The 12,207-nt window shown below is 43.7% G+C and overlaps 1 protein-coding gene across 5 annotated transcripts in view, besides 1 other annotated feature; it reads right to left on the bottom strand.

Annotated features, from left to right (window-relative positions):
* Positions 1-9,277, bottom strand: part of DYNC1I1 (dynein cytoplasmic 1 intermediate chain 1) — a 337,769-nt gene extending 328,492 nt beyond the window's left edge. For all 5 annotated transcript variants that reach the window (NM_001278422.2, NM_004411.5, NM_001278421.2 and 2 more), the window contains exon 1: positions 9,058-9,277. The gene's annotated coding sequence lies outside the window, so the exon portion shown is untranslated. The remainder of the gene's footprint in view (positions 1-9,057) is intronic.
* Positions 4,032-5,231: an enhancer, noted in NCBI's record as "CDK7 strongly-dependent group 2 enhancer chr7:95405912-95407111 (GRCh37/hg19 assembly coordinates)". NCBI's record gives its function as "activates an origin of replication core promoter dependent on BRD2, BRD4, P300/CBP, MED14 and CDK7 cofactors, with strong dependence on CDK7, by STARR-seq in HCT116 cells {active_cell/tissue: HCT116}" and the evidence as "EXISTENCE:reporter gene assay evidence [ECO:0000049][PMID:35650434]".
* Positions 9,278-12,207: the final 2,930 nt, after the last annotated feature.

Genomic DNA, 12,207 nt, shown 5'->3' with positions numbered 1-12,207 from the left:
AGTGCTATGGAATGCCCCGTGAGGAGGGTGTAAAGAATAAGAAAGTACTAAATGTCATTATTAACCACACAGTCTCCAGAGCATGTGCCCTGGTTAAAGCAACTTTCTGTATTTTCCTCCAGGAAGTTTAGAAAACACTTTTTCCATGTGCTGCCCAGATCTGCCTTTCCAGCATTTGGGAAGGTAGCGGTGGTGTTGACAGTGTTATAGGGTGATGTTTCCAGTACCCTGACCCATCGTCAAAAATGAACTTTTGCCCAATTTACTGAGAAAAATGGCTCAGTCAGGGCAGACTATACCAGGGAAAGGGAGCACTCAAAGATAGTATATCTTCCTCCTCCTCGACAATAGTTTTGTAACCAACTTTTCTATCTACTTTAAGGTCTCTAATTTATTGTCTTAGAATTTTTTGAACTCACATTTCTTCATTTTTAAAAACAAGGGATACTCAAGGAAAATGAGCACAGTTCCCCTGGCTTTAAATTCTCTGGCATAAGATATGGGATTTCACCCTTGCTTGATATGCCAATTACTTTTCAGCAGCATTTGACAAATATTAAAAAGCTTAAAATAGGAGGCAAGAAAATGTGTAAATATTCAAAACCCCAAATCTGGCCTTTTACAGTGTCCCTGGGTGGTCCATATTTGCATTGGGAGATTTAGTTTGGCATTTTTAACTTACCCAAATAGATTCTCATTTTCCTCTGAGCCTGAAGGCATTCAAAGAGGGAGGATCCTCTTTCCAAATCAGCTGTAACCTATACCTTCTGAAAGTGAACAAAGTCACACTTTTCAAGGAAGCCGGCAGAGAAGGTTTTTTTTTTTGTTGTTGTTATTCTTTCTTCCACAAAATACACACCAATTCCCACAACCTCTTGCTATATTGATACTAACGGGCAGATGGTGAAACAGTAGACGCACGGTCGTTTTAAAAGGGAACATTGTGTCAAAACACACATTCCCCACAGGGCCTGCTTCCTTTTCCATCATCCAAACCCACCAACTGACATTCCACAAGTTGGTTCTGAGACAGAGTCTCAGGGTCATCCCCTGCACTCAGGCTCATTTTAACATTCAACAACTTGATAAACATTTAAAGACTTCCACATGGTGTGCTGTAGGATCTAAAACTGCATTCAGAAAGAGAGGACTTCTTTCCATTACAATTAGTGAAGTCTTCATCTTGACAAAGAAATGGGTACTATTTCAGGTCAGAGTAAACAATCTAGCATGTATTCTAAAAGGGAAAGTGAGGCCGGGCGTGGTGGCTCACACCTGTAATCCCAGCACTTTGGGAGGCTGAGGCAGGCGGATCACGAGGTCAGGAGATCGAGACCATCCTGGCTAACATGGTGAAACCCCGTCTCTACTAAAAATACAAAAAAAAAAAAAAAAATTAGCCGGGTGTGGTGGTGGGCGCCTGTAGTCCCAGCTACTCGGGAGGCTGAGGCAGGAGAATAGCATGAACCCTGGAGGCAGAGCTTGCAGTGAGCCAAGATCATGCCACTGCACTCCAGCCTGGGCGACAGAGACTCCGTCTCAAAAGGAAAAAAAAAAAGTGGGGGAAGTGATTAAGTGATTGTAGGCAAAGGATGTATAACATTGTGTCATCATTTATTCATTAGAATGAATGAATATTTCATTTATTCAATGAAAATATACTCATTACTTCGCTTCACTTTGGACATTAGAATAAAATATAAACCTGGTAAGGAATCAAAATGTCCCTTCTACCAGAAAGAAGCCAATGTACTGGACTGCTCATCGGACAGTGTCAGACCAAAGCCAGACGAAAAGGATTAGCCTAAGGGGTTCAAAAAGGAAAACACCAGATTCAAACCATGCTGCCCGTCATTTCTTCAATGAAATATTGTCCTCCTCAAGACTCCCCTTCCCCCAGCAGAAATGCTCTGCATGATCCTGATTCAGGAAAGCAAGACTTCCAGGATTCTAGGTATTACCAAGCACACATTCATCTTGGGCACAGACACAAAATGGGCGCTACATTTCAGGAAGTGAATGTTTTTACTAAACACATTAAAATGCTCCAAGGGGAAAAAGAACTCAGTCTTATAAGAAAAGGAAAATTAAGTAGGATTTATTCTGGCTAATATTTCAGGTCAACAAAAGCTTGTTGAGTATTCACCATGAGTAAGGTTCTCTGCTGGAAGACACAATGATGTCTGAAGGAGCCTAAAGTCTAGGAGAAATACGAACGTCAATGAGTAAATTCAAATCAAGACAATTTTTTGTTATAAAAAAACAAAGCATACCTTTGGTTCAAAGGAAGGCAAGATCACACACATCCCAGATAAACTAGAGAGTGACATAATTGCTGTTTGATCGTAAAAAGAATTATGGTATTTAGCATGTACCATGACTGGGGCCTGTACACTGATTGTCTGCAATCCTCACAATAACTTTGCAAGCCAGGCATCATTTTCCCCATTTTACAGACGAAGAAACTGAGGCTCACACAGTCAGTAAGTGGGATATCTGATCTCTTCTTCTCATTACTTTATCATGCCTCCTAGATGCTCTTAGATGTTGTGCTTTTTACTATCTTGTAAAGACAAAAAAATTGACTTAAATTATTTAAACAGGGAAGATTTCAATGAGAAAACTAGAACTTCTAAAGCAGAGTTTCATAATTTCGGCATCATTGACATTTTGGGTCAGATAATTCTTTGTTGTGGAAGCTGTCTTGTGCTTTGTGGCATGTTCAGCAGCAGTCCCAACCTCTACCCACTAGATGCCAGCCCTTTTCCCCAATTGAGATAATAAAAAATGTCTCCAGACATTGTCAAATGTCCCCTGGAGAAGACAATTGCTCCTGGCTAAGAACAACTGATCTAAAAACTTGCTGGGGTCAGGTGCAATGGCTCACACCTGTAATCCCAACACTTAGGAGGCTGAGGCAGAAGGACTGCTGGAAGCCACAAGTTCAAGACCAGCCTGGGCAACACAGCAAGACTCCATCCCTATGAAAAAAAAAATTTTTTAACCAGCTGGTGTGGTGGGACATGCCTGTAGTCCCAGTTACTTGGAAGGATGAGTTGGGAGAACTGCTTGAGCCCAGGAGTTGGAGTTGCAGTGAGTTATGATCATGCCACTGCTCTCCAGCCTAAGCAACAGAGTAAGACCCTGTTTGTAAATAAATAAATAAATAAATAAATAAAACTAAAAAGAAAAGAAAGCACTGGAATTAGCCCATCTTGTACTGAAAATCATTAAATAGAAGAAAGATAAAAGACAGCTATTCCCAGTCACCACTACTTGAGAGCAGAAAATGGGACCAGCCTCTGTGCAGCTCCTTCTGGCCCTACTCACCTCTAATTTGAGTCCCATACACAAAAGGCAATGGGCCTGACTGCCAGTAGCTGTGCCACACTGACCCATAACACACAGCACCTGTGCTAGATAAATGTGCAATCTTCAAACTGGCATTTGCATACCCCTGGCCTCCACAGTGGCTTTCTAAAGAGCCTGCAGGCAAGGGAAAAGTTAATGGCATTAATTTCCAGATCCGCAGCTTTTGCCTGTATGTTTTCCTAAAACTATCTACCGGAGAATGTGCCTGTGGTTGTAGAATTATTCGGGGCCCCTTTTTCCATCTCCATTTTCACAAAATGCCTTCTGCCATATAAGGTTAAAGACAAATATAAACTAAACAAACAAACAAAACCCCAAGAAATCCCAAATTTTACTGTGGTGCTTAACTGCAAGATATAAAAACATCCCTTTGTGAAAAGAGCTTCTTCACATACATTTTAAATTGAAGTTGGTATTTAGATTTTAATTGGATTCAAAGAATGATGTCACGGTTTTATTTTTAACTGTCAAAGTTTACAACATTCTGAAAATCACATTAATTGTGATTCTATAAATTTATGATGAAAAGCATTAGATGTAACCTTAAATGTGTGGAGGTGATGGAGCTGCAGAATTTTTAAAAAATTCTTGAGGGATTATAAAAGAGAAAAAAAAATGTTGGAAGAGCACTGAGTTAAAGCATAATGAAGCACACTGGAACGGTTACCAGGCAGGTCTGTTGATCAAGTACAATCGTCCTCTATAGTGCTTGAGATTCATTATTTTTATTATGAATACCCTCAACTCTGACCGAAATTTCTGCTTTGTGTGTTTGCCACATTGATGGCATTAGCTGTTCTGAACCCCCAAAATGAAACAGTGGGTTGTTCTATGCGATCATAGCAAGAATATAGGTAAGCGGAAAACTGTTAGCGCTTAAATAATAATTTGGAAGCAAGAACAGCTGCTAAAGAGGATTTCAAGACCAGTATGAACTGAAAACTAAAGAGCACGTAAGTCATCTGGTAAGTAGTGCCCCTCCCAGGATTTAGAAGCAAGTCAGTGTTCCGGATCATGACACAGCTGCTGTATCAGGGAAGCCTCAGAGGACAGAACAGCCTTAAAGTAAATTCATCTTTGCAGTGAATAAAGTTTTGATTTACAGTTACCCCTGCAAGATAGTTTTCAGGCTGTGTTAGGTGGGGGCTGCTGTGCATTTGGTACTCGGCAAGACACCTGGCGATGGGGGAAGCAAAAGTGTGGAGTTTCAACTCACCTTAAGTTAAAGCAGGGCTTGCTTTTCTTCTGCCACTCTGGGAGACATACAACTTGTTGTTGTTCCTTTGATAATATTTTAGGCTTTTCCTATCAGTGTGTGAACATATTTCTTGAGGGACTCTTAGTCCTGCCACAATAAAAAGCTACACTAAACAATACTTTTTTTGGTGTCCCACACAGGCAGAGAAACTATGAGCTATGGTAGGAAGAGAAGAAACAGACTTTGGAATCAGGCCCACCTGCATTTCAAATCCAGCCCTTCCACTATCTGGCTCCATATGGCCTTGACCAAGTGACTTAATCCCTCCAAGCATCTCCTTGTTTGTCAAAGAAAGAGAAAAATGTCCACCTTACAGGGATGTTGGGATGATTCAATGAACTAACACATCTATAAAGCACTGATTATGCACAGGGGAGATTCTCAATGAATGACAAGCCAAGCTAGGACTGCCTGCCACGCCTGGAGGCCTGACTCAGTTGCAGGCCTGACTCAGTGTCAGTTGATGTTTGCTATACCTGCCACCTGGACTCCTGGTGAAATGCCACAAAAATGTCCTGATAGCCAAGAACATTTTATTTTTGGCTGCCACTGGTAGGATAGCTTGGCTTTGTCTTCGATACATTTCAGCAGAGTGACCTCTGCTCCTCTCCCCTTTTTTAAACAGCATATGTAAACCAGTGATTCTTCCTGTATTTTTAGTTAGCAATATCCCCATTTTTTCCCTAGAAAACTACATTTATGCACAAATGCATGAAAATTTGCCTCAATTTTAGTGGGTTCAATGACCATCTGAAAACCATTCGTATGCCTCCCTTTTACAGTATCTATGGGTTTTTGTTTAAGAAGGTTCCTCCAACAAAGAATCAAGGATGTTTTATGAATATGTGAGCTCATGAGGATTAGCACCTAGGCAGAGGTATCTATGTTACGATGGAAACTTCACTCTGAGATTCTGGGGCCAGGCCTCACTCAGAGAGGAATCAAGGAACACAAGTCCAGGATATTGATGAAAAGTCTCTGTCAAGAGGAATAATTTTTTTCTTTTTTAAGACAGGGCCTTGCTCTGTCGCCCAGGCTGGACTGCAGTGGTGCAATCTCGTCTCACTGCAACCTCTGCCTCCTGGGCTCAAGTGATTGTCCTGTCTCAGCCTCCCGAGTAGCCTGGGATTACAGGCACGAGCCTCCAGCCTGGTCTCTAACTCCTGGCCTCAAGTGATTGGTCTGCCTTGGCTTCCCAAAGTGCTGAGATTACAGGTGTAAGCTACTGTGCCCAGTCAAGAGGAATAACTTTTACATGGACCTCGTCAAGGGTTTATACATTGCAAAGAAGAAAAATGAGAGTTGAATTAATTTGAGTTAACTCTCAAAACAAAAAAGTCAACTCTAGAAGTTCCTAGTTCCAGCACAGTTCCCAGGAGAATATATGTTCTCACATGCTCTAGGGGATGCAGAAGCCACAAAGATTTCTAGTAAAAGAGATCCCTGATTAAGGTAGCAACTATTTACACAGCATTTGAGATCCACAAAGTATAACAGCTACTTTCATTAAGGAGACAAAAACAATGCCATAATTTATTTTAAGGGGCCATGGGTCTACTTTGAGTGTGCATATATTATTCACAGTTACCAATCAACTGGCAAAAAGTGCGGCTATACTTGTGGCTTTAAGAAAATAACAATGGATCACACTGAAATTGGAGAGCAAACCTGAAAGATACAGACATACACTCGCTTTTTTGTCTCTCACACAGCACAATAGCCAAAATGGATGGGTCCTAGTTTTAGAGTCTTTGGAGAGATCTCATTTGAATCCTACCTCTGCCATTTATTAAATGATGTTGAGTATGTCATTTAACTCATTTAATTATTTGGAAAATATGGATAATAATGTCTACTTCATAGGATTAATATAAGAATTAAAATGAGATAAGAGAAGAGCTTGGTATTCAATATATGAAAATTAACCAGTGTAATTGTTTCATAGTACGGAAGAGAGAGGTTAAAACTCCTGGCCTGGAGTCAGGCCTTGATTCAAATGCTGCCTTGCTCAACTTAGTAGCTGAGCAAAAGTTACTTGACACCTTTGTGTCTTAGTTTCCTCATCTGTAAAACAGGATTACAAACAATATCTGCCTCATAAGATTTTTGTGATGTTTAAATAAGTTAACACCTGTGAAAGTATTTTAAAATGCAATGCCTGGTAAAGTGCTCAATATATTTTAGCTACTGTTATCAATCTTTGTTTCAAGTGTAGGGAGAATAAAGTAATGAAGGAATATATTTGTTTGAAACAGATTTTGAAACAGATGCATGTGACCTTTTCATTTGATGCTACGTTAAACAACAAAGAAACTGGAGAAAACGGTAACAGGATGAAGCCGGTGCACACTGTCTGTACTAAGAGGGGTACCTAGATTTCAGATTTGGCATGCATTTTACAAGACTGGTCTACATCGCTGTTTTTATGGACAGAGCAGCACCCAGGCTGGATCCTTGACTCAGCACTGTCATCAAAGGCAAGGCTCATTTATTAAACGTAGACTCGGGAAGGAGTATTTTTGGAAGCAGAGGGATTGGGAAGAAAGACCCTAGAGCCTTCTCTGAGATATAAAACATGGTGACTGAAATGCCAAGTGACTTCTTACTCTCTTCGAAGTTAGTCAGAAACTGAAGACCATGGACCACTACTTTAAGAACTCTGCCCCTTTTCCTGCGGGTCGAGTTTATTTTCTCTGCTCATATCCCTACTGGTGATTTACCTAAAGCTTTAACAGTAAAACAATCATGCATGTTTTCAATAGCAAAGAGGGAGGAAAGGCTGGGGGTGGGGAAGGACTGCAAGCCAGCCCCTCCTCCTCCAGGGGACTGTGCACCAGCGGCTGCAGCATCTCAGAGGTCCAAAGAAGGAGGAAGCAAGTGCATTTGTATCTGAGGCCTGAGACAAGGAAGACAAAGTAAAATGCTGAGATGCTGTGGGCCAGAAACAGGGCTAAGAGCTTGACAGGCTGGAAAAGCCTGCATTCGACCCCCAACTGTATTCTAAAAACTTCCCAAGGATGGTGCTAGAGGTTTTAAGAGGAATGGGTCTTGGAGCACTGGATCCTCAGACCTAAACAAATATTCGAGAGTTAGTTCTTATGAAGAGAACATGTGGTAACTCAGTGGCAGGTGTTTCAGATTTTATTTTATTGAGAAATATGATCAAAAGAGCTGAGTTAGGACCCCTTTTTCCACACCAAACCTTTTTGAACAAACTTGGCATTTTAAATAATTAGAGGTAGTATTACATTCTCACCAGTACCCTCAGCTTGCAAATTGCACTGAATATTCCCTTTTCAAATTTACTAACACTGATCAACGTATATCTCTATAATTTCCACAATTAAAGTATGTACACAGACTGGTTACCCATGTCTGTGTTAACATCAGGCGTTGGGTTGTCACCTGCAGTTGCCTATGCCTTACTGTTAGCTATACTTTTTGCTAATCTGGAATATTTGGAAGCAATTCTTCACAACTCTGAACTACAATAAGTCTACAATGCCCACTTGAAAGGCATTCCAAGCAAGAAAATGGCTGGCTACTTGTTCCTGCCCCTTACCTAGGATTAGTAGAGGCCAGAATAGCGAATATATTCCATCTTCTGCATGTTGTTGAGTCTCTGATCTCCTATGTAATTTCCTGTCCTGATCCTGGGCTTCTGTTTAATCTTATTAGCCAAGGTACAAGTCATGAGACTCCCGCACACTCAGTTCCCATCAGCGCTGCCAGGATCACTGCCCTTATGATGACGACGCACGGATTTATAAGGCCAGAGCGATTCCGAATGGGAGCGGGGGAAGGAGAGCCAGGCGGCCGTGAAGGTGTTTACCAAAACAACATCCCCCAGCCACACTTTTTCGCAGCAGAGAGAAACTGGCATCTTCTCGCTTTGAAGTGTTTAATTAATGCCCTGCTGGAAGTGAATTCGCTCCCTCCGACTTGCAGGGTAGTGACAGCATCTAAGAGCTTTGCAGACAGCTCGAAATGTAATCAAACAGCATCCTTTCCCCTCCCTCTGCAGCTTTCCCCCTCCTCCAGGGGCAGTCAGCCGGTGGCCCAGAGGGGTGCAGATTTCAGCGCCGCTCGCCCACTGCTCCCCCGGGGAAGACCGAGGCGGGGCGCACTGGGACGCCCTTCCCAGCCCACAAGGTGGGCGACCAGGTGGTGACACCACGACCCTTCCTTCTCTGCCCTAGTCTCTCGGCTCTGCCGAGAGGGGGGTGTCACTGGGGGGCTTTGGCCGCCTTCGGGCTCAGCGGAGCACGCAGGAGCCTGGGCAGGGGGCCAGGACAAGGGTCCGGCTGCGGCTGCAGGGGCCTCGGCTCCAGCCTGGTTCCCAGCGCAGACGACACCGGGGTGGGGAGGGTTGGGGAGAGGTGCGGAGGCGGCCGTCCGGGGAGCGGCGACATCCCGCTCCAGTTTACCTGGACGCGCTCGGCAGCGGCGGAACTGGGCTCCCCGAGCCGGCGGCGGCTCCTGGGCGGCGGCAGCGTTGGTGCAGGCGGCTCCCGAAGGTGGCGGGGCCGGCGCGGGCAGGATGTGCTGTCTCACGCTGCGCCGGCCGCTCGGCTCGCGCTCCTCCGGGAGCGATCACTTCCTCTCTCCCAGAGCCTGACACTGACAGCTCCCCGGAGCACTCAGTCTGCGGGGCTCGCCCCGCCCCCTGCCCACGCCCTCCACGCCCGCGCCCCTCCTGAGGGAGGGCCTCCGCTCCGCGTCTTCCGCGCCCGGTCTCGCCAGGAGGGGGTGGCGCCGCTCCGTAGGCTGGTGGCGAGCAGAGGACCTGGAAAGGTCAATTCGTCTATCCCTCTAACGTCGGTAGGACTTAGACCTCAGTTGCTGCAAAGAGAAGAGCTTCAATATTCTGGGAGCTCCTGCTGAAATGCCACCATTGAACAACTTTCACTCCCAGGCAACTACACTTCTTAAGGTCATTTAAATAGAAATAAAGCTCAGATCTACCTGTTGTACACAATGACTTATAGGTCTGATTGATCCCAATTTTTCTAGAAGAAAAAAGAATTAAGTGTGTGTGTCTGTGTGTGTGTGTGTGTGTGTGTGTGTGTGTGTGGTGTGGTGTGTGTGTAGCTTGTCTTCACATTGCTTCTTAAAGTCCCAGCTTTTAAAAATCTGGGTAACTGGCCAGACGCGGTGGCTCACGCCTGTAATCCAAGCACTTTGGGAGGCCGAGGAGGGCGGATCACCTGAGGTCGAGAGTTGGGGGACCAGCCTGACCAACATGAAAAAACCCCGTCTCTACTAAAAATACAAAATTAGCCGGGCGTGGTGGTGCATGCCAGTAATCCCAGCTACTCGGGAGGCTAAGGCAGGAGAATGGTTGAACCCGGGAGGCGGAGGTTGTGGTGAACCGAGATCCCGCCACTGCACTCAAAGCCTGGGCAACAAGAGCGAAACTCCGTCTCGGGGAAACAAAAAAAAATCTGGGTAACTATTATTGGACTCTGCAAAAAACAAGCTTGCCACAACAGCTAAGTTATAAGGCCAAAAAATTGAGTTTGGGATGTTAGGGGGTTTGGTATCATTTTATAGATGAGCTTTTCATCATATTTCTTGCACATCTGTGGTGTATTTTTACACATTAGAATGTAAATTAGTGGAGGGCAGGGACGCTATCTTGTTCACTGCTGTATTCTTAGTATCTAGAACAGCATTCTGATATATAATGGGTACTCAGTAAATATTTATGAACTTATTAATTCACAAGTACTACAGTAATTTCAAAATAAATACAGATTCTAGTATGAATACAGTATGAATACATACTCATCTGTAAATGGCCATCCTTATTCTAAAACTTTGGCCTCCCTGGCTAATCTACTGCGATTGTAACTATGGCTAGAAATGAAGAGGTTAAATGTCTAGGTAGAAGGTATTCAAGGTATTCCAGAAGGAAAAATCTAGGAAATAAATATTTGCCACTACCGTGACTGAATATTTAATACATGTCAATTCTACATACATTTTTCTTTAACTTTTCTATAACATTATGTAGTACATATAACGAATGCCATGCCTCCAGAAAAGGAACTTGAGTCAAAGAAGTTAACTCCCTTGCCCAAGTTCCATAACCACTGAGTGATCTAGCTGAGATTTGAATTCCCATTCATCTGCAGCTTGTACTTTAACTACTTTGTATTTTGGTCTTTCCAACATGGCATTGCTTTTGTTGTTGTTGTTGTTTTGTTTGTTTGTTTGTTTGTTTTTTGAGACAGAGTCTCCCTCTGATGCCCAGGCTGGAATGCAGTGGCACAATCTCGGCTCACTGAAACCTCCATCTCCTGGGTTCAAGCGATTCTCCTTCCTCAGCTTCCTGAGTAGCTAAGATTACAGGTGCACACCACCTAGCCCGGCTAATTTTTGTATTTTTAGTAGAGATGGCATTTCTCCATGTTGGCCAGGCTGGTCTCGAACTCCTGACCTCAAGTGATCTGCCTGCCTCAGCCTCCCAAAGTGCTGGGATTACAGGTGTGAGCCACCATGCCTGGCCTCAACATGGCATTGTTGAGTGCCCACGAAGTAGGAGCTGGGACTTAGACACTGGACCAAATTGAAGACTAGCTAAAACAGGGATGGGGCGGAGGCAGCTTTCCATAAGAGATGCTCACCAGTGTGCCATGTCAATTTACCACTGCCGTGGCAAAACCCAGGAGTTACCACTCCCTTCCATGGCAATGACCCCATGACCCAGAAGTTACTACCCTTTCCCTAAAAATTCTGCATAAACTACCCCTTGATCTACAAGTAATTAAAGTAGGTACAAATATGACTGCAAAACTACCCTGAGCTGTTACTTTCTGCCTGTGGGGTAGCCTTGCTCTGCAGGAACAGTCACAGAGCTGTAACACCATCAGAGCTGTAACACTGCCACTTCAACAAAGCTGTACTTTTCAACCCTACCACTGGCTCACCCTTAAATTCTTTCCTGGGCAAAGCCAAGAACCTTTGCGAGCTAAGCTCCAATTAATTTGGGGGCTCCCCTGTACTGCATCGCACACAACCTGCAAAGCATTGTGCTTGGAGCTTCACATGATTTAAAAAAGAGAATATAATCCCTCTTCTTGAAGGGGTTAAAATCCAGTTGGAGGTGCAAGGATAGGTAAAGGCAACATAATTAAGGACAAACAATAAGGAAATACCCAAAGCAGTACAATGGTTTGGGTGGATGAGATGGAAGGAGGAAATTAGAATTATGACAATAGATAGTATTGAAATAGGTAGGGTTTTAGAGCAGAAATGAAGAGCAGAGAACATTTTCAGGCGTAAACAAAGCTCCAAAGAAGAGAAAGAACAAAGTGTACTCAGCAAATAGTGAGTGGGCCAGCTTTTTGGATCATGACAGACTCATGGGAGAGCCAACTGGGGCCTTGAGAAGGGCTGTAGAGCAGATAATGGAGAATCATTAAAGGCCTTTGAGTAGAGAATGACACTTGGGAAGAGTCATCTGGGGCTATCTTCGGGTAGAGGATTGAACAAGCAAAAGCTTAAGAGACAAGTTTAAAGTTCATTCAAAGAATCCAGGTCAGGATTTAAAAGGCCTGAGTTTGCCAAGTTGT

Source organism: Homo sapiens, chromosome 7 (assembly GCF_000001405.40).
Source record: "Homo sapiens chromosome 7, GRCh38.p14 Primary Assembly".
Taxonomy (NCBI): domain Eukaryota; kingdom Metazoa; phylum Chordata; class Mammalia; order Primates; family Hominidae; genus Homo; species Homo sapiens.
The sequence above is the reverse complement of the archived record's forward strand: the minus strand, read 5'-3'. Positions and strand labels throughout refer to the sequence as shown.